This window comes from Homo sapiens, chromosome 10 (assembly GCF_000001405.40).
Source record: "Homo sapiens chromosome 10, GRCh38.p14 Primary Assembly".
Lineage (NCBI taxonomy): Eukaryota > Metazoa > Chordata > Mammalia > Primates > Hominidae > Homo > Homo sapiens.
Window position 1 is genome coordinate 26,686,847 of NC_000010.11, and position 22,596 is coordinate 26,709,442.

Genomic DNA, 22,596 nt, shown 5'->3' on the forward strand with positions numbered 1-22,596 from the left:
TGAGGAGGGAGAATGGCATGAACCTTGGAGGTGGAGCTTGCAGTGAGCCAAGATCACGCCACTGCACTCCAGCCTGGGCGACAGAGCTACACTCCATCTCAAATAAATAAATAAATAAATAAATAAATAAAACAAAACAAAAAAAGAAACATTTATTGGCCAGGTGCAGTGGCTCACGCCTGTAATCGCAGCACTTTGGGAGGCCAAGGCAGATATATAACAAGTTCAGGAGTTTGAGACCAGCTTGGCCAAAATGGTGAAATCCCATCTCTACCAAAAATACAAAAAAAAAAAAAAAAAAAAAAAATTAGCTGGGTGTGGTGGTGAGCGCCTGTAATCCCAGCTACTCATGAGGCTGTGGCAGGAGAATCACTTGAACTCAGGAAGGCTGAGGTTGCAGTGAGCCGAGATCACGCCACTGCACTCCAACTTAGACAACAAGAGTGAGATTCCATCTCAAAAAAAAAAATTTATTATAGCATAAAACTCTATTAGGCTATAGGAATACGGCAAAATATCTTTCCTTAAAAATTATTTTAATAAAAAATAATATATTCTCTGAATTTATCAGAAAAATAACCAATTTCATCCATAAAGGATCAAGAGTATTTCTTTATTCCTTAAAGAATGAATCAGAATGTCCAGAACCACACTTTTACAGCCAGCAAGCCTCTAATCTAGCTAAAGGCTGAGAGAGCGAGCTGCGGGGCTCCAAACTCTTGATTTCCCACTTGTCTCATCAATAGTGACCTTTTCCCTGTACTTGATCCTGAATAAGGGAATGAATTATTTTGCATAGGTCTTTAACATAAATACAATCAGTAAATAGAACTCATGTTTCTTTCTCATAAGGAATGCTGTACTTACAGGTGTTTAGATGTCAAGATGAATTCCACACCAGGGTAATAGCCCCTGCCCTGTGGCTGCTGTCCTTCAATAGACTCCCACACTCACTACCTCTGGGCCTTTGTTGATGCTATTCTGCCCTCTGCCACACAACCCAATCCCTGTCCTCCCCCTACTGAAATCTTAGCTAACCTTCTACTCAAGATCGATTTCCTCTTCCTCCATAAAGATAACCTGATCCATCTCTCTTTAACTGACCTCTGATTTTTTATAGTTTATTTGTTCCATGTGTTTAAGTATTTTTTCTTTAAAGACTGTGATTTTCTTGGGACCAGGGACTATGACATACTTATTACTCCCAGGCTGGGCATGGTGGTTGATACCTGTAATCCCAACACTGTGGGAGACCAAGGCGGGAAGACTGCTTGAGCCCGGAGTTCAAGGCCAGCCTGGGCAATATAGCAAGACCTCATCTCTACATTAATTAATTAATTACTTAAAGAAATACTTATTACTCCTGGACCCCTTAAAGTGTGGTCCAATGGCAGGCACAGAAAATGGCCAATAAGTAGTTTTGGGGTTGGCTGGACCATTCATATAGACAGGACTCATCCACAGTACTAATCTGGATATTTATTTTCATGTGTCTTTTTTTGAGCAATAAAATGTAGTCACTTTGAAAAAGCATATAAGCTTAATCTATTATTCTAAATGTTTACTTCATGAACAGCCACTGAATCACATTCCTCAATATTAACACTGAAAGACACAGGGGGTTCTAGTCTAACCTCATTTTATTTTATTTTATTTTATTTTATTTTATTTTTTGAGACAGAGTCTTACTCTCCCGACCAGGTTGGAGGGCAGTGGCATGATCGTAGCTCACTGCAGCCTTGATCTCCAGGCTCAAGGGATCCTCCCACCTCAGCCTCCCAAGTAGCTGGGACTACAGGTATGCACTACCACGTCTAGCTAATTATTTTTCTAATTTTTTTTTTTTTTTTTTTTTTGTAGAGACAGGGTCTCCCTATGTTGCCTAGCCTGATCTCAAACTCCTGGGCTCAAGTAATCCTCCCACTTTGGCCTCCCAAAGTGCTAGGACTACAGGCATGAGCCACCTGCCCAGCCTAACTTCATTTTAGATGGCAAAAATGAGGGGCAGATTGTTTAAGTGACTTGCCCAAGTCACAAAGTGAGTTCCTGCAGGGCCAGCTCTAGGTTTCACATATTCTTTTTTCCTATCTAGCACTATTCTCACTGTACCACAGTGGCTCCTGGGCAAATGTTAGGATAAAAGCACAATGGAAGTATCTCTGCATATGTGAAGATCTAGAGATGAAAATTCTACTATTGTCCTAATAGAAGTAATACTGGAGACAATTTAAACCATTAAGATTGTGGCTTGGAATTCAGAAAAACTGAATATACATGTCACAGCCACAAAAGTTAGTAGTGTTATTTATACCAGTCATACCAATAGTCTGTGACTGGAATGTCATATCCAATCAGCAAAAGCAAAAAGACCTACACAGTTATAGACCCACATGTAATAGTATCATTTCATCCAGATGAAATTAGAGAGAGAGAAAGAGATGCTGTAGAAATAAATAACCCATAATTTCTTTAAGCATGAATATTTGGGGGGAATTTTTTAAATGGAAATCTTATAAAAACACACTGCTATGGTCTGACAGTATTCATCCCCCTAAAACTCCTATGTTGATACCCAGTCACCAAAGTGATGGTATTAGAAAATAGGGACTTTAGGAGGTGACTAGGTCATGAGGGCTCCGTCCTCATGAATGGGGTTCATGTCCTTATGAAAGAGGCCCCAGAGAGCTGCCTTCGCTTCCGCCATGTGAGGATGAAGTGAGAAGGCGCCATCTATGAAGCAGAGAACCCTCAAAAGATACCACATCTATGGGTGCTTTGATCTTGGACTTCCTGAACTCCAGAACTAGGAGCAATAAACTTCTGTTGTTTATAAATTACCCAGTCCAAGGCATTTTGTTATAGCAGCCTGAATGGAGTAGGACACATATTATGCATAAAGTATAATAAGTATGAAATGTGTGCTTGGTAAATCACTGAACATTGGCAAGGGTCTGACCCATGACAGCCATAAAAAGGAACAAGATCATGTCCTTTGCAGGGACATGGATGGAGTTGGAAGCCATTACCTTCAGCAAACTAACACAGGAACAGAAAACCAAACACTGCATCTTCTCAGTTATAAATTGCAGCTGACTGAGAACACATGGATATGCCAGGGGGAACAACACACACTGGGCACCTGTAGGGGGATTGGGGGGAAGGAGAGCATCAGCAAGAATAGCTAATGGATGCTGAGCTCAATAACTGGGTGATGGGGGCTGGGCTCAGTGGCTCATGCCCATTATCCTAGCACTTTGGGAGGCCAAGGCAGGCAGATCACTTGAGGTCAGGAGTTCAAAATCAGCCTGCCCAATATGGTGAAACCCAGTCTCTACTGAAAATACAAAAAAAAAAAAAAAAAAATTAGCCTGGCGTTGTGGCATGCACCTGTAATCCCAGCTACTTGAGAGTTCAAGATAAGCCTGGGCAACATGGCGAAACCCTGTCTCTATAAAATTAGCCAGGCGTGGTGACAAGTGCCTGTGGTCCCAGCCAATTGGGTGGCTAAAGCAGGAGGATCGCTTGAACCCAGGAGGCAGAGGTTGCAGCGAGCGGAGATCGTGCCACTGCACTCCAGCATGGGTGACAGAGCAAAGCTCCATCTCAAAATAAATACATTAAATAAATAAATAAATAAATAACTGGGTGATGGGATGATCTGTGCAGTAAACCACCATGGCACACGTTTACCTATGTAACAAAACTGCACATCCTGTACATGTACCCCTGAACTTAAAAGATGAAAAGAAAAATAAATTGATGTTCAAGTTTGTCACAGGTGACCCTTAAAGTCCTCCTAATGGCTTGACTACTTTGTCTTTTAGTCTACAGGACTTTGAAGAAGGAAGGAAATAACTAACCCAGCAAACCAGAACCTGATGCTATAATAATTGTAATAGTTAACATGTTAAGCACTTTACATGTATTTCCTAATTTAATCCTACACCAACCCTACGATACTTTACTATTTGTCTTAAAATTTGTTCCTGAGCAAACCAGCATCACCAAAAAGCCCCCAAACCACCAGAGAGTGTTAATCTTATCTAGCTTACAGGAAAGTCACAGTCACAACAATTGGTCCTATGTTCCCGTTTCTGTTTTTAATTAGTCAGATACCATACCCTGAATTTGTTGCTTAATTTCTTGCTTAACATCTTGCTTAATTTCCAGAATGTTCCTTAATTCCTTCCTGATTTCTGCAGCACAAATAACACCCCCAAGGAATCTTGATTTACTCCCATTCTAGTAGTTGTACATTGTTCTATGGCTATCTTGATATAATTATAATCTATTTGTCCTTCTTTTTATCTGTTTTATATTAATTTATTTTTTGAGACAGGGTCTCACTCTGTCACCCTGGCTGCAGTGTGGTGGCACAACTTTGGCTCACTGCAACCTCTGCCTCCCAGTCTCAAGCGATCCTCCCTCTTTAGCCACCCAACTGGCTGGGACCACAGGCACGTGTCACCATGCCTGGCTAATTTTTGTAGAGAAGGGTTTCACCATGTTGCCCAGGCTGATCTTGAACTCCTAGGCTCAAGCAATCTGCCTGCCTCAGCCTCCCAAAGTGCTGGGATTATAGGTGTGAGCGACTGCACCCGGCTTGTCCTTTTATATTGACACATTGTACTACTTCATTTTGCCAAAAATGCCAAAAGTGCACTGAATGAGTTCTCTAGCAATAATCCACAGAAATTTTATATTTATGCTGCCCCAGTATTCTCAATTCCATTCAAAGAATTAGACTCTAGCTTTAGCACAGCAAGAAATCACATCAGCTAATCTATAAACATCTTCTGATGGCATATTCCTTTAGACACATCTTGTTGAACTCCCAATGCACTAATTTAAAACTTAATGCAAAATAATTTTTCAGTAGGACAGCATTTCCATCAAATAATTCTATTTGCATAAGGGAAGTTATGATGTTGCTACTCTGACCTGGTTGCCCCCATATCGGTGAGCCAGTGGAACAGATCCAAACACTGTCTTTTCGCCACTTACAAGGTGGATAAAATCATCTGTTTCTGAAACAGATAAATCAAGGTCCAAAATATTTTCTAGAACTTCCTGAGGCAGGAAAAACAAATTTACAAACCGACGTCATCTTTCACTTTTTTGGGGTTTTTTTTGTTTTGTTTTTTTTGAGACACAGGCTCACTCAGTTACCCAGGCTGGAGTGCAGAGGCACAATCATGGCTCACTGCAGCTTTAACCTCCTGGGCTCAAGTGATCCTCCCGCTTTGGCCTCCTAAAGTGCTACGATTACAGGATGGAGCTAGGGCACCCGGCCTAATAATTTTTAAGAATGAGACTTAATGGAAGAAAATTCAAAGAATAAACCTCTTCTGAAAATATATTATTAATTTTTTTCATAAGAGATGTACCATACTGTCTATGTTTATGCTATTTGGGAAAAATTAGTTCTACTAGATGGTTCTAAAATTTTTATGGCTTTCTTATGATGCATGGTAAAACAATATTTTTCCTAGGACAAATTCATTTAAGAAACTACAAAAAAAGTCCTATTTTTAGCCCAAATTCATTTATGTCATGGGAGAAAAATTTAGAATTAGAGACCATTAGATAAAGGATATGTAAGATAACAATTTAACTCATTTTCCTCTTTTTCACAAAAGCATATTTTTCTTGTAAGACAACTTTAAGTTGAAACTGAGTAAGTATCAGTGTGATTTATAAGAATGACATCTCCAAGTATTTGAATTTTAAACACAGTCATTTATAATTAGACTAATAATATTAACTCTAAAAAATTATTTTAAACAAATATTTTAGTGAGTTAAGTATTTGTGTTGTGAAAAACTAATGCCTAACCTTTGAAACTGCTATAAGACGTACTCTTGATTTGAAAGGAGTTCAGAAAAAGATACATAAAATACAGTTTTCCACTTTATGAACATAATTTTCTTTAACAGGATCAACAGGCAACATAGCTGATAAAATAAACATCCTTCTTAATGTTCTCATTTGTTGCATATACAGCACTAATATCCCTTAGAAAGTCTATGGTTCTTCAAGAAACTCAAGTCACTATTTTCTTCATGCTTTGTTATTTAAAGGCTACTTTGTAATTTCAACACAATCTAGCCAACATTCATTTAGGTCAGTATATCATGGAACTGTTCAAGAGCCTAGGAAATGGAAAAGGTTTAAAACAGGAAGACACATACCCTGTCTTCAAAGATCTTCACTCTTGGAAGGCATATCAGATTTATATATATATATATATTCTTTTTGAGATGGAGTTTCTCTCTTGTTGCTCACGCTGGAGTGCAATGGTGTTATCACGGCTCATTGCAAACTCCGCCTCCCAGTTTCAAGTGATTCTCCTGCCTCAGCCTCCCACGTAGCTGGGATTACAGGCATGTGCCACCATGCCCGGCTAATTTTGCATTTTTAGTAAGGATGGGGTTTCATCATGTTGGTCAGGCTGGTCTCAAACTCCTGACCTCAGGTGATCTGCTCACCTCGGCCTCCCAAAGTGCTGGGATTACAGGCATGAGCCACCGCGCCCAGCCAACAAATATATATTTTTAAATGGAGGTGAGCTGCATTACAGAATTACAAGTATAGTACTAGTTAATTCAATGGAACCAAAATCCATTAGGCACACAATCACATGCATTCTGCCCTTTGGAAACACAATTAGCTAAAGGAAACAGGTAGACAAGAGACATAAATACCTTAAGACCAGGCAATACATGGCTTACTAGATGCACAAAACTGCTGTAGATCCCACATATGATAGCTGCCCGCCCACAAAGCTAAAAGTTTAGAAATTGCCTCTGCAGAAACAAACTATGTCTCATAAAGTCCATACACTGAAACACATTTACCATATTTTAAAAGCTGTAGAGGAAAAGAAAGCTTTGAACACACTTTAGATTCTCAAAACATATTTACTCTTATTTTATAAATAACACCTAAAATCGTCATCTGTTTTTCCAATCCAAAGCAATTAAAACAAAAAAAAATAGAAGACAGTAGGTGTATTAATAAAACTATAAGACTAAGGGACAAAAAAACTTGTTTCTGGATACAGATTTATTGTCAAAATGTGTCACCAAATTATTTAATAAACATAATAGGAATCCAATTAATAGCCTAGCAGGATTTTTTTGAAGAAATAGACAATCTTAGTGTGCAAATCTGAAAAAATAAACGATAAATTTTTTAAGAGAAACAAGTTTGCTTATATTAAAAATTAAAAGAATACAATAACAAAAACTATTGCTATTCTAAAAATAGATGTAAAGATCAGTGGAACTCAATAAAAAGTGCAGAAACAACCAAAAGCTATAAAAGAATTTCCTATACAGTGAAAATAACATTTCAAATCACTGGAGAGAGGTAGCATTAGGATAATTTGCTCCACTGTCTGGAGTAACACCAATTTATTCCATCCAGGCTTAAGTGAACTAAGTATCAGTTACAACAGCAAGTTTCTATCTTATTCAAATCAGTAATAAAAGCAGGCTAATATGGGCCATATGGGCCACTTTTAGCCCTTTATATGTTCCCTTAAGTCCATGATGTATTATAAGGTAGCATCCTGGGGGATTAAATGTGTACTCAATCAAAAAGTGGCAGATTTTAGCATTCACACCAGAAAATCGGACAATATGATTATAAGTGGAAGAACCAACAGTATATTTTCTGCTTTTGTGGGAGAGCCTCTGAGTGGAATGAACTAGATTATATAATTAACACAATCTCCTTTATGATGCTCTAACATTGGTAGGGCAGGGGCAGCATATCACATTCCATTAGTAGTTATCATTTTGTACCACTCGATGCACGTCCCGGCAAGACAGCTGCTGGTCAATAGATGTGATCACCAGCCATGGAACAAAAAAGGCTATTTCAGGCATATTAAACCCTCACCCATGTGATGCTTTAACAAGCTAATGAGTCATAGACTAAAAACCCCAGAGAAAATTCCAAAAGCATACTAACCCCTTCTCTTAAGATCTCAGGAAAATCAGTACTGGCAACTTTAAATTCTTTTGAATTCCGTTTTGCATAAGACTATGAAATCCACAAAAACTAACAACAAACAAAAGGTTAGTGAAACTAATCTTTCACTGCAAATGTTTGAACCTTTTCTCTCAATAAATGTGCTTACCAGAGTAAGATAATTTGGATAATTCATTGATCATTTATTTAGTAAAATCAGGATGAGATGTTTTACACAGTACTGTAAATCAAGACACAGTAATACATAGGATTATTTATTTATTTATTTGGAGACAGTGTCCCACTCTTTCATCCACACTGGAATGCAGTGGCATGATCACAACTCACTGCAGCCTCGAACTCTCGAACTTCTGGGCTCAAGCAAATTTCCCCGCCTCAGGCTCCTGAGTAGCTAGGGCTACAGTCACACACCACCACGCCTGGCTAATTTTATTTTTTGTAGAGACAGGGTCTTGCTTATGTCGCCTAGGCTGTTCGTGACATCCCGACCTCAAGCAATCCTGCCACCTCGGCCTCCCAAAGTGCTGTGATAACAGGCATGACCCACTGTGTCTGGCCTGGTACTATATTTACAATCTCTTTGGCTATAAAACCTGTTCCTATTGTAGATATTATGTTTTAAACAGTATCATCAATATGGCAAGAAAATGTCTTGGAGGGTACCTAACACTCCAACCTCAAAACGACAACCTTGATCGCTTTCAGTTACACATAGGCCATTTTGATCCATCTGTACTGGCTCTTTTCATTTGTCTAAGGGCAGCAAAATAGACTAAAGTTGTTTTCAGACTGCACAAGAGAAGTCTGTTCTTTAGCACTTACCTGCATAACTCAGATAGTGTTTTTAACTTCCTCAACTCATGCTTGGCCTAGTGGGGTCAAAAGAACTACTTGTGAATTCCGTATGTCCAATTGGTAGCTTACTGTTTTTTCTCAAGAGTTTAGCTATACAGTAACGTTGGAAGTCTTGAGGAACTTCAGCTGCTGTCCCTACTTAGCCTTGCAATACTACGGCATCTTTTTTTCTTTTTCTTTTTTTTAAAGACGGAGTCTCACTTTGTCACCTAGGCCGAAGTGCAGTGGCACAATCTCGGCTCACTGCAACCTCTGCCTCCCAGGTTCAAGTGATTCTCTTGCCTCAGCCTCCTAAGTGGTTGGGATTACAGAACATGCACCACCATGCCCAACTAATTTTTGAATATTTAGTAGAGACGGGTTTCACCATGTTGGCCAGGCTGGTCTCAAACTCCTGACCTCAAGTGATCCACCTGCCTCGGCCTCCCACAGTGCTGGGATTACAGGCTGAGCCACTGTGCCCCCGACCTACAGCATCTTTTTAAGAGCAATGTTTTCTGTTTTAATGTGGCCAAGCAATCTCTAAACGAACATGGTCTGACAAAATTGTGTAGTGACATACTTGACAACTGGGTGAGCTTGAGTGTGATACTTATTTGACCATACGGTATTTCCTCTATATGTTTCCTTATCTTTATATACAAAAAAGGGCAAATGATAATGTCTTAGTCATAGGATCAAGTACAACCCAAGTGCTTACTGCTACACTCTACTTGGCAAATTCCACCTTATGAATGTTTCTTAATATATAAACCTAATCTAAACCAAGATAAGCTACAGGTGCATATTAACAATCTTTACTCATAAAGCTTTGCATATTTTTACATACTATTCTTCAAGATGGAAAAAACACCATCAAACTGGCTTATTTTCATAGATGTCTTTATATAGTCTATGATGTCTTCATTCCATAAAAAATCCACACGATTAAATATGAAATTAATGTACCCAGCTATGAGGCTACCGCATTCTTTAACCCAAGAACAAGAAAATACATGAATCAGAGAACTGCAATTACCTACTTGCTGGTCTATTTCCTCATTAGAGTGAATTTTTTGAGGACTAAATTGCATTTCTCTATCTCTAATGCTTACCCCCTATCTCACTGGCTCTGTGTGTTTGAGTGCATGCGCTGAATGTTTATATCACTTAATTTCTGTTCGGAACACGCTGTCTCTTAGCACCAGTAGATCTGGCCTTAGAGCTAAGGAAAGAAGGCCTTTCTAACCCATAAGGGGTACTAATCCTGTACAGACTCCAATATCTCCCGGGCTGGGTACACGCAGGTTCACACCCAGGTGTGAGCAAGATTGCCAAACTATACCTATAAGGCGTTTGGAGGGGAGAGTCCAAAAGTCACGAGACCCGGCTAATTTAGCTACTATTTCACAACAACCCTGATCGTGGTCGGACTTGTTTCTAGGAAGATGCGATGGGCTGGAACTTCCTTCAAGAACAGATTGCAAAAGGCAGCCGACCAGGGCGTGTCAGGTCACTGCCAAGGGAAGCAGCAGCGGAAACCGTCGCCTCCGGCTTAGGCTGCGGAGCGGGAACCCCATTCTCTGAGTTATGTTTCTGCCTAAACACGCAGAACAAAAGAGTTCGTGGCTGCAAGGGTGGCGCGCGGTAGTATTTCTTGCTAATAAAAGGTCCCCACAGGGACATTTTTGCTATGACTGCAGGCGTGGCCAGTCTCCCTGCACAGCTTCCGGGAAGAGGTGGGGATAGGAGGCTCGCCCCGGGGAAGGTTACGCTCGGGGTCCCCAGACCAGGTCTCCGCACGCCCCTGCCCCGTCGCCTCCCGGGAGCGGCTGCAGTCCCCGTTGGCTGCAGACGGGCAGACACCCGAAGTGTCCGCGCCGGCAGCCGGACCGCAAGCGAGGAAGAGCGAACCGCGCTCCCGGGCCTGGCCGAAGCGCTTCCTGTGCCAGGTTTCCGGCTCCGGGTCCCGGGAGGAGGATCGCGGGCCAGAGGCGGAGCCGCCGCCCTGCCGCGACTTTCAGACTCCGACCATGGCCTCGCGCTGGTGGCGGTGGCGGCGCGGCTGCTCCTGGAAGCCGGCGGCGCGGAGCCCCGGGCCCGGCTCCCCCGGCCGTGCGGGACCGTTGGGGCCGAGCGCCGCTGCCGAAGTCCGCGCGCAGGTGAGGTTGGGAGGCGCGCGCCCGGCGGGGCTCAGAGGTCACGGCTCCAATGACAGCAGTGGGCGGAATGAATGGGAGCGGGGAGCACGTGCGTCGCGACGCGGGGGCGCGCGGGGTAGCTCCGGGGTAGCTCCGGGGTGGGACTCCGGAGCTGAGGGGTGCTCGCGGTGGGACGGAGCCGCGCGTTGGACTGAAGTAGGGGCGCCCTACACGGGGTTGCAGAAAGCGGTGTCCTGGGGACCCCGGGAGCGTTTTGGGGGGTGGAGAAAGCGGTGGGATCCGTGTCCTGGGGGAAGCGCAGGAGCGATCAGATTGACCGCTGCTATATGGACAAGGTTAAGCCTGGAGAGCGACTGCAGCTATTTACTTTGGAGTTAGAGGAAGACAGATCTTGCCTGAAATTTTAGAGCCAAAGTGCTCAGAGCTCTCTCCGAGAAACGGAGGATCGAATCGGCCTCGGAATAGTCCGAAAAGGTCTTGTGGAGAATGCAGGGCTGGTGCTAGGGTGGACCGGACCTTAGTTGTCCAGCAGTGGCCTCGGGAGGAGAGCACACCTGGATGGGGCTGGAATGACACTGGAAGGAGAAAGGCCCGAGGCCGTCAGGAGGAGAGAAACCCTGGAGTCATCTAAAGTCAGAATCTCAGCGATAGCCCATTCTTTCAGGGTCTCCTCTGCTGCCTTTGGGTTCCGATCTCCTTTTTCTCCCTTTCTGGTCAGTTTAGCCCCTGTAAATGGACACTGTGAGCCCTTCTGCGCTTTGTAATGATTCTCAGTGTGCCATGGGGTAGGCCCATGCTATTAGCATAACCGTGCAAAATCTATGGACTCACTGTTACTTAAGTTTATTTGAATTTAGTACTCTTTTAATTCAGATTTGGTATACTTTATGTGTCCGTGTTCTCATCAAACATCATTTCCCAGTATGAAATATATAACACTTATAAATATCTACTTTGTACCAAAGTAGATGCGTATCACAAATTATCCAAAACAAGGCTTGGGCCAGGCACAGTGGCTCACACCTGTAATCCCAGCACTTTGGGAGGCTGAGGTGGGAGAATCGGTTGAGGCCAGGAGTTTGGGACCAGCCTAGGCAACATAGCAAGACTCTGTCTCTATAAAAAATAGAAAAAATTCACCAGGTGGGGTGGTGCATGCCTGTAGTTCTACCTACTCAGGAGCCTGAGGGAGGAGGATTGTTCGATCCCAGGAGTTCAAGATTACAGTGAGCTGTTTATTGTGATAGTGCCAGTGCACTCCAGCCTGGGCAACAGTGTGAGACCCTATCTCTAAAAAATCTAAAGCAAAAAAGACGTTTGGAGACCAAGTGGCAGCTGGGCAACTAGACAATGCTAGAGAGTAAAGAGAACAGAATATGGGGGGTGAGGGGCATGTGGGAGAAGAGGCTTAGAGGAGGAAGGTAGGCTTTGCTGTGATCCATTTCAGGACTGTTCTCTCCAGACTTCAGATATTTCTAGTTCCACAGAAGAAGCCAGTATTTGAAGAGATGGGTGCATCCACCCTCTTATGCCACTACATGCTTCTTCTTCTTCTTCTTTTTTTTTTTTTTTGACACAGAGTCTCACTCTGTCGCCCAGGCTGGAGTGCAGTGGCGGAATCTCGGCTCACTGCAAACTCCACCTCCCAGGTTCAAGCGATTCTCCTGCTGCAGACTCCCAAGTAGCTGGGATTACAGGCGTACACCACGACCCCCAGCTAATTTTTGTATTTTTAGTAGAGACGGCATTTCACCATGTTGCCCAGGCTGGTCTGGAACTCCTGACCTCAAGTGATCCACCCCCTCCTCGGCCTCCCAAAGTGCGGGGATTACAGGTGTGAGCCACCACGCCTGGCCTGACACTTCTTTTTAAAAAAGTTTCTTGCCCACCAAGCAACCTTAGCCAGGGAAAGTGTGCTTTTCTGGAGAGAATATGCTTTATGGCCTCCCCGTCTGCATGACGACAAGGAGGAATTCTGTGGACTCATGATGCCAAGATCATGTATTTCTGATGTGTGTGTCAGTGATGCCTTTCACTATATGTTAATATGTTAGCATTCTGGTGTCTGCCTCAGGCATGTGTATTTTGGTTACTTCAAGTCTCTTAGGGCCTGATAGTCCTTGGGGACACAGAACTACAATAACTAAGCCACAGGGACAAAGAGCGGCAATAATTAAGCCACGTCTTGCTCTCCACCAGAGCTCTACTACCTCCTAATGGTTGTACATTCTTCTGACTTCACTAGTAGTGTGAACAAATATTGTAATACAATAAAAACCAGTGTGCATGTGATCGTGCCAAATCACTTCTCAATATATCTTTGATTTTTTTTTTTAATTTATTTTTTTAGAGACGGGGACTTTTTGTGTTGGCCAGGTTGGTCTTGAACTCTTGGACTCAAGCCATTCCCCCCTCCCCCCCACCCCGCTTGAGGATTGGCACACGGCCATGTATTTGATTCTTACCCAGCACTTTCTCTTTAGCTGAGCGTGGTGGCTCACGCCTGTAATCCCAACAGTTTGGGAGGCCGAGGCAGGAGAATCCCTTTAGCTCAGGAGTTCGAGACCAGCCTGGGCCACTTAGTGAGACCTCCTGATATGGTTTGGCTCTGTGTGCCCACCCACATCTATCTCGAATTGTAATCCCCAATTATATTTGGGGACCAGGGAGGGTCAAGGGAGGGACCAGGTGGAGGTAATTGGATCATGGGGGTGGATTCCCCCATGCTGTTCTCATGATAGGGAGTTCTCACAAGATCTGCTGGTTTTATAAGTGTTTGGTAGTTCCTCCTGTGTTCATTCTGTCTCCTGCCGCCTTGTGAAGAAGGTGCTTGTTTCTCCTTCTCCTTCTTCCACCATGATTCTAAGTTTCTGAGGCCTCCCCAGCCATTCAGAACTGTGAGTCAATTAAACCTCTTTCCTATAATTATAGATTGCCCAGTCATGGGTAATTTCTTTATAGCAGTGTGAGAATGGACCAATACAGATAATTGGTACCAAAGTAGTTGGCATTGATATAAGATACCTGAGAATGTGGAAATTACTTTGGAACTGGGTAACAAGCAGAGGTTGGAATAGTTTGGAGGGCTCAGAAGAAGAAAGGAAGATGTAGGAAAGTTTGGAAATTCCTAGAGTCTTGTTGAATGGCTTTGACCAAAATGCTGAAAGTGATATGGACGATGAAGTCCAGGCTGAGGTGGTCTCAGATGGAGATGAGGAGCTTCCTGGGAACTGGGCAAAGGTCACTCTTGCTATGCTTTAGCAAAGAGACTGGTGGCATTTTGCCCCACCCTAGAGATCTGTGGAACTTTGAGCCTGAGAGAGATGATCTGAAATTGGAACTTAAATTTAAAGGGGAAGCAGAGCATAAACGTTTGGAAAATTTGCAGCCTGAAGATGTGATAGAAAAGAATTTTCTGGGGAGGAATTCAAGCTGGCTGCAGACATTTGCATAAGTAACAAGGAGCCGAATGTTAATAGCCAAGAGAATGGGGAAAATGTCTCCAGAGCATGTCAGAGACCTTCTCTGCAGCCCCTCCCATCACAGGCCAGGAGGCCTAGGAGGGAAAAATGGATTCATGGGCTGGGCCCAGGGCCCTGCTGCTCTGTGCAAGAGCAGCCCTGGGACTTGGTGCCCTGCTTCCCAGCCGTAGCTAAAAGGGGCCAAGGTACAGCTTGGGCCATTGCTTCAGAGGGTATAAGCCCCAAGCCTTGGTGGCTTCCATGTGCTGCTGAGCCTGCAAGGTGCACAGAAGACAACAATTTGGGAACTTCTGCCTAGATTTCAGAGGATGTATGGAAATGCCTCAATGCCCAAGCAGAAGTCTGCTGAAGGGGGGAGAACCCTCATGGAGAACCTCTGTTAGGACAGTGCAGAAAGGAAATGTGGGGTTGCAGCCCCCACACGGAGTCCCTGCTGGGGCACTGCCTAATGGAGCTGTGAAAGGAGGGCCACCGTGCTCTAGACCCCAGAATGGTAGGTCCACCAACAGCTTCCACCGTGCACCTGGAAAAGCTGCAGGCACTCAATGCCAGCCCATGAGAATAGCAGTGGGGGTTGAACCCTGCAAAGCCACAGAGTCAGAGCCACCCAAGTTCTTGGGAGCCCACCCTTTGCATCAGTGTGACCTAGATGTGAGACATGGAGTCAAAGATCATTTTGGAGCTTTAAGTAATGACTGCCCTGCTGGGTTTGGACTTGCATGAGGCCTGTAAGCCCCTTCGTTTTGGCCAATTTCTACCATTTGGAATGGGAACATTTAACCAATACCTGTACTCCCATTGTATCTTGGATGTAACGTAACTTGTTTTTGATTTTACAGGTTCATAGGCGGAAGGGACTTGACTTGTCTCAGGTAAGACTTTGGACTTGGACTTTTGAGTTAATGCTAGAATGAGTTAAGACTTTTGGGGACTGTTCGGAAGGAATGATTGGTTTTGAAAAATGAGGATATGAGATTTGGGAGGAGCAAGGGGCAGAACGATATGGTTGGTTCTGTGTCTCTACCCAAATCTCATCTCAAATTTTAATCCCCATGTGTCAAAGGAGGGCCTATGTGGAGGTAATTGGATCCTGGGGGCAGATTCCCCCATGCTGTTCTTGTTATAGCGAATTCTTATGAGATCTGATGGTTTTATAAGTGATTGGTAGTTCCTTCTGTGTTCATTCTCCTTCCTGCTGCCTAGTGAAGAAGGTGCCTTGCTTTCCCTTTTCCTTCTGCCATGATTGTAAGTTTCTTGAGGCCTCCCTAGCCGTTTGGAACTGTGAGTCAGTTACACCTCTTTCTTTTATAAATTACCCAGTCTTGGGTATTTCTTTATAGCAATGTGAAAACATACTAATACACCTCGTTTCTAAAAATCAGCTACGCATTGTGGCATGTTCCTGTAGTCCCAGCTACTCAGTAGGCTGAGGTGGGAAGATAGCTTGAGCCCAGGAGATTGAGGCTGCAGTGAGCTATGATTGCACCACTGCACTCCAGCCTGGAAAAATAAAATAAAAGTAAATTCATGAGAGGCAAGGTTGACTTTCAGAGAGTGTGTGAGGGAAAGGTAAGAAACAAAATCGGAATTAGAAAATGACTGTTGCCCCTCTCTTTTCATTCTTCACTGCTTTTCTGAGCACCTCTCACCTCCCTTTGAAAAACTGCTCTAAAGTACTTTTAAAGCAGAAAATAGTAGCTTGATTGAATAGATACTGTATTAAATGTATATTGTGTACCAGGCTCTGAGCTAAGAGCTTTACATCTGCTCTCTAAATTAATCTCCACCTCTCTCCATGAGTAGGTATTATCAGAAAGACATCACAAGGTAACACAAATGTTGAGATTTGAACCGAGATCTGTCTTCCAAAGTCCATGCTACTAATAATTGTTAGGCCACTTGGTGGTAAAAAGCGTCCCCTGTATTAATTAGCTGTGTAATTTTAATCCTTCAACCCAGATTAGGGGTCTATAACTGAATAACTAAAAAGTTATTCAGTTAGAATAGTTCAGTTAGTTATTATAACTAATCATAGTTATTTGGTCAAGCGCAGTGACTCACGTCTGTAATTCCAGCACTTGGGGAGGCTGTGGCAGGAGGATCACTTTTGCTCAGGATTTCTAATAATAGTAACTATTACTAGAGACCTGATAATAATTATTAAGTCTCTTACTGAAGAAGTTTTACTCTTCCATTAAGATGCCCTTATTTATAAGTATTATAATAAAATACTGAACTCATATGAATTAATTACCCATGTAGACTGAAAGACATAGGTTGTCATATAATGGTTGTCATATAAAGCATGAAGGAGGATTGTCACTTTGTTTTCTTGTTGCACTGTAATTGCCTGGGATATCATGAAAGTTCTTACTGGTTTAATGAATATGTAATGCTGTGGGGGAAAGAATGAAACTCAGGCCAACTACTTTGACTGGTGTCTGGCAAAGTCAACTTTCATTGTCATTTTAATATGGCGCCGGGCGCGGTGGCTCACGCCTGTAATCCCAGCACTTTGGGAGGCCAAGGCGGGCGGATCATGAGGTCAGGAGATCGAGACCATCCTGGCTAACACGGTGAAACCCCATCTCTACTAAAAATACAAAAAATTAGCCAGGCGAGGTGGTGGGCGCCTGTAGTCCCAGCTACTCAGGAGGCTGAGACAGGAGAATGGCGTGAACCCTGGGGGGCGGAGCCTGCAGTGAGCCGAGATAGCGCCACTGCACTCCAGCCTGGACGACAGAACGAGACTCCGTCTCACAAAAAAAAAAAAAAAAAAATATGGCTAGAGCAATACATGTTCATTAGAGAAGAATCAGAAAATATCTACCAAAAGAAGGAATAAAACAAAACACCCCCACAATCCGATTCATTCCAGAATAACTACTTTTAACACCCTGGTTTGTGTGCTTTCAAACTCTGTTCTCCCATTTCCAAAGGATGTTGAGGAACACGAACTTAAAATAGACAGTGTTTGTATAAATATAAATTCCTTCCTTGCTATTGAAATCTTTTTTCCTCTGACCAATCTTAGTTAAATGGAAGGAAATTGTTTTAAAACTAATTTTCAGGTCTGGAAAGATAGATATGAATATGGAAATGGCTTTCTTTGGGGGAAGGGATGGACTGAAGATGGTTTTTATTTTCTCCTTTTTTCTTATTTATGTTTTCTGCAATGACAAGTATTTTGTAATAACAAAAGGAAACTTTAAAATTATTCTTCCTCTAAAGTTTGCAATCTACCTGTAAATGGGTGATTAGAAGATAAAGATTATAATTATGGGGGTTTTATCATCCAATGTTACAGTTTTTCAGGAATATTCTTACAAGTTTCTTGACATTTTTATTTTATAGATACCCTATATTAATCTTGTGAAGCATTTAACATCTGCCTGTCCAAATGTATGTCGTATATCACGGTAAGTTTACAGTCCATACTGCAACTACTAAAATTATCCATTTTTAAATTTATTGTTGTTTAAAAAATTTTTTTTGTAGCGATGGGGAGCTCACTGTGTTGCCCAGGCTGGTCTTGAACTGCTGGCCTCAAGCTATCCTCCCACCCTCAGGTTCCCAAAGTGCTGGGATTGCAGACATAAGCACCCGGCCTAAAATTATTAATTATATTGCCTGTAAATTTCTATTCTAAATTGTAGATCTCTGCCTATTCAAAAAACAGGAATATAATAAAGTTTGAGCTCAACCCAGAGCACAATGAACATAGTTTAGTTTTTCTTTGATTTTGTGGGTTCTCAAGGCCCTATTTATAAAAGTGATCTATTGATCTGTCATTTAGCAAGAATAGAATTCTGTATGTTTTTCCAAATTATAATGACCTTTTCAGATTCATGATTAATTTCTAGCAAATATTTGGGCTGAATTTTCCGTATCTGAGTCTACTAAATATATATGTATATAAAACTTACTTGAAAATGAAGTCATGTGCATTTTTGCATGTCCCAGGTTTCATCACACAACCCCAGACAGTAAAACACACAGTGGTGAAAAATACACCGATCCTTTCAAACTCGGTTGGAGAGACTTGAAAGGTCTGTATGAGGACATTAGAAAGGTGAGTTTTTTATTCTGCTGTGATGTAATGTTTTAGCTTACCAAAACTTACTAAAATTTTATTTTATTTTTTATTCTTATAATTATTATTATTTTTTGAGCTGGAGTCTCACTCTGTTGCCCAGGCTTGAGTGCAGCGGTGCAATCTAAGCTCACTGCAACCCTTGCCTCCCAGGTTCATGCAATTCTCCTGCCTCAGCCTCCTGAGTAGCTGAGATTATAGGCATGCGCCATCACACCTGGGTAATTTTTGTATTTTTAGTGAAGACGGGGTTTTGCTATGTTGGCCAGGCTGGTCTTGAACTCCTGACCTCAGGTGACCTACCCACCTTGGCCTCCCAAAGTGCTGGGATTACAAAAAAACAGTGCAGGTTTTCAGATCTGTACAATGCAGTTTGCAATCTTGATTGACGTATGGTCAAGTTTCAAATGTTTCTTGAGAAGAATACATATGACCCAGTGCCAGGCAATATGAAGAATGCAATATGTATTTATGTCCAGAAAGAGGTTATGGCAGGGTTGGGAACCTGAAGGAAAAAAATGGTCCAGGTAGCTCATGCTTGTCCAATGAGTTATCCCACCTTTCCTCTTAAAACCCACCACCTCCCAGTGACTCCAGCTGTCTCTTCCTTATCTAATTCTGAATGTCATTGCCAGTCTGCCCCAAATATGGCTTTCTTCATTCAACTCTTTTTCCTGAAAACTTTCAGTAGTTCCCAACCTCACGTGGTTGGGCACCGTGGCTCGTGCCTGTAATCCCACCAATTTAGGAGGCCAAAGCAAGAGGACTGCTTAAGCCCAGGAGTTTGAGGCTGCAGTGAGCCATGATCCCGCCATTGCACTCCAGCCTGAGTGAGAGAGCAAGACATTTTTTCTGTCTTTAGAAAAAAATTGGCTGGGCACGGTGGATCACACCTATAATCCTAGCACTTTGAGAGGACACCACTTCCTGTTTCACAGACAGTAGGGGCTGTGGAGGAAGAACTCCTTCAGCTCCTGCTCTGTCGCAATTGGCCAGCTTGCCTGCGCCTTCTCTGGCGATTGCCTGCTCTCCTCCCACCCGTGGAAGTCATGTCCCTTCCCTCTCTAGGGGCAGTCCCTTAGCCAACCTCCCTAGTTTCTTAGGAACTCCCCCAGACATGGCCTCTCCCTCTGTCTGCAAACTTTCATTGGCATGGTCTTCCATATCCATTGGGTGTTCAGTTTCTTCACCTGCATTTTTAAAAGGCCCATCCACTGACCCAGTGCTTCACTCCCTCCCTTCCCTCACAGTATCCCCTGCCCTCTGCCTTCCTCCAGTGCCTTCATGTTCCCTCCACTATTGCACTGGGGCCCCCTTTCCAGCCTCTCCTCTGAAGCTGGTTTTGCTTGGGTCACTGATAGCTTCCCTGTGCTAAATCCAATGGATGTGTTACCAGCAGCAAATTTGTACAGGTCTGCAGCAACCTCAATTCTTGCCTCCTCAGAAGAAAGAATTCGACTGAGGGGCCTAAGGCAGAAGGAGAGACGGAGGCAAGTTTTAGAGCAGGAGAGAAAGTTTATTATTAAGTGTAGAGTAGGAAGGGAAGGAAGTAAAGTACACTTGTAAGAGGGCCAAGCTGGTGACCTGAGAGAAAGTGTGTGGTTTGACCTTGGAATTTGGGTTTTAGATGTTGGCATACTTCCAGGGACTTGCATCCCGTCTCCCCGGATTCTTCCCTTGGGGTGGGCTGCCCGCATGCGCAGTGGCCCGCCAGTGTTGGGGAGGGGAGCATGCTCAGTGTGTTTACCGGAGTTTTGCGCATGCTCACGTGAGGCATTCTTCCCATACCAGTCCCAGTTTTCCTAGAAGGACATACACCAATTAAGCTCTGCCATTTTGCCTCTTAGTGTGCATGGTTGAGCCGACTCACCCAACTCCCGAGATCTTATTGGGAAGCTGATCACCAGTTTCAGGTTTTTGTATCTATTGAGAGACTGCCGTCCCTTGGCACCAGCTGTGACCAATTAGTATTTTAGCGACACAGTTAACAACTGCTTGACCATCACGTGATGGTCGCCTTCCTGTTGTGGGTCGGGGAGCCCTCTCCTGCCCTGCTCATGCCTGACTAGCTATCTACTGTAACGGACACTTCCTGGTTTTCTGACCATTGGGCACTATTGACTGTAACCCCTCCTTGAAACATGGTTCCCTTCACTCTGCACTTTGTTCCCCCTCCTTATCCTGAGGCTTTTCTTCGGTTCATCACCTCCAGCTCACTTCCTTTAATTTTGCCATTCCCTGGGGTTCCGTGGGCCCCCTCCTCTCTCTCTTCCTTATATATCTGTGTCCATACTTACGTCTCTCAAATAATATCACTACTCCAGGTTGAATCACATCTCCCACACCCAGGTAGCTAACTACTCACCGGGAACGCCATGGGGCGGCCATGACGGTCTCAGGCTTAACTCAGCTGAGACTCTACTTTTCCCCCACGAGTTGTTTGTTCTGCTGTTTTCCTGTTCCTTGGGAACCTGGGAAGAACCCAGGACTTGTCCCTCTCCTTCCCCTCTATGTCCTTCTAGTCTGCCTCTTGTCAGTCCCCACTGCCCCAGGCCAGGCAATTCCATGCCCCTGGTCCTTTCATTCGTGCTCTTCTCCTCCCTGTCTCAGCTTCCGAGGTGACAGCTTACCTGGGTGACAGCACCACACCCATCACACTGTGTTGTGTCAACGGCAGTGATCGTTTTACTTCTCCCCATCTAGACCCTGAGCTCCTTGTAGGCAAGGCTTGTCTTACTTTACCTTTGTGACCTCTGTGTCTGTTACAGTGCCTGGCACTAAGTCGGTAATTTACTGAATGAACGATGGGCCCACTTTGTTGTGTTCACCTGTGCCGAGCTGAGGTTCATTGACTCCCACTGCATCCAGGGGATAAACTCTGACTTAGTCTTGGAGTGGCAGATACAAGCGACACACACCCGTCAGCCGGAAGGCTCTTGTCCTCTTTGTGAATCAGAACCCTGTTTAGGCTTCTAATCCCACATCAAAGCCCATCTCCTCCATGAAATACTCAGTTTTTCTAGCCTGCACTGATCTCTTCCTTCCCTGAACTTTCAATGTATTTAATGTACAGCATTGTTCACGCTACCACTGTATTCGTCATTGATTGTTTCATATTTGCAAAATGTTTCTCTCCCCAGTTCAGTTGTAGGCTCCTTGTAATCCGGCAGCCCATGCCTTATATGGGCTCTATGCGCTTACGTGGGCCTCTATGAACCCTCAAAATGTCTTTTGCCAAATAAAGGCCAAGCCAGATGGACTGAGCCCTGTTTCTTCTCCTTGGCTGTGGCCTTACTATCTTCCTGCCCCTCGTAAACAGCTTTGCCCCTGGGAGTTTGAGGCTGCAGTGAGTTATGATCGTGCCACTGCCCTGAGGCCTGGGTGACAGAGCAAGACCTTGTCTCTAAAAAAATTAAAATAAAAAATTTAAAAAAACAACTTTGCCACCCTACCCATCACACCCCACCCGCCTGACCTGCTTCACAGGCTCCCGACGGCCACTGGCTTCCACCTTCCCCATCTTTCTCTTCCCGCCTCCATCTTTCAAGCTGCGAACCAGCCCCTGTTCCTTTCGCTGTCCGGCTGTCAATGAGCCCAGAGTCCCTTAGCCACCTAGTGCTTTCTTCCACCTCCTGCTGTCTCTTGGGGTCTTCTGGTGTCTGATTCTGTCAGCGGGGCAGGTGGCAGTACCTGTTCTAGCATTCAGGCCACTTGGGGCTGATCCACGCATTGTTTATGTTCTAGCCTGCAGGACAGCCAGGTGGATGGCCCTGCAGCGTGGGAGCCTTGCCCACGGAGTGTTGAATTTCTCAATTGAAATGAATACACTTAAATTAAACCAAAGTTTTGTAGAAGAAATCCTGGCCAGGCACGGTGGCTCACGCCTGTAATCCCAACACTTTGGGAGGCCGAGGCGGGTGGATCACCTGATGTCAGGAGTTTAAGACCAGCCTGGCCAACGTGGTGAAATCCCGTCTCTACTAAAAATACAAAAAATTAGCCAGGCATTGTGGCGGGTGCTTGTAAT

At 43.8% G+C, this 22,596-nt stretch overlaps 1 protein-coding gene across 7 annotated transcripts in view, besides 3 other annotated features; it reads left to right on the forward strand.

The window, feature by feature from the left end:
• Positions 10,528–11,147: a silencer, noted in NCBI's record as "silent region_2238". NCBI's record gives its function as "represses an Ori minimal core promoter by ATAC-STARR-seq in GM12878 lymphoblastoid cells {active_cell/tissue: GM12878}" and the evidence as "EXISTENCE:reporter gene assay evidence [ECO:0000049][PMID:35858748]".
• Positions 10,528–11,910: a biological region, named in NCBI's record as "H3K27ac hESC enhancer GRCh37_chr10:26986797-26987685".
• PDSS1 (decaprenyl diphosphate synthase subunit 1) overlaps positions 10,855–22,596 on the forward strand; it is a 49,098-nt gene continuing 37,356 nt past the window's right edge. For 5 of the 7 annotated variants that reach the window (NM_001321979.2, NM_001321978.2, NM_014317.5 and 2 more), the window contains exons 1-4: positions 10,855–10,994; positions 15,316–15,348; positions 17,831–17,895; positions 18,440–18,548. Coding sequence is in view for 5 of the 7 variants with exons in the window: in NM_001321978.2 (NP_001308907.1) it covers positions 10,866–10,994; positions 15,316–15,348; positions 17,831–17,895; positions 18,440–18,548 (336 nt within the window). In the remaining 2 variants the exon portion in view is untranslated. Of the gene's footprint in view, positions 10,995–15,311; positions 15,349–17,830; positions 17,896–18,439; positions 18,549–20,353; positions 20,483–22,596 lie in introns of those variants that run through there. The other 2 variants (XM_017016011.3, XM_011519437.4) reach the window with 2 other exon arrangements.
• Positions 11,022–11,910: an enhancer, noted in NCBI's record as "H3K27ac hESC enhancer chr10:26986797-26987685 (GRCh37/hg19 assembly coordinates)". NCBI's record gives its function as "activates a minimal SCP1, AML or CMV promoter by ChIP-STARR-seq in naive H9 embryonic stem cells {active_cell/tissue: H9 hESC(naive)}" and the evidence as "EXISTENCE:reporter gene assay evidence [ECO:0000049][PMID:30033119]".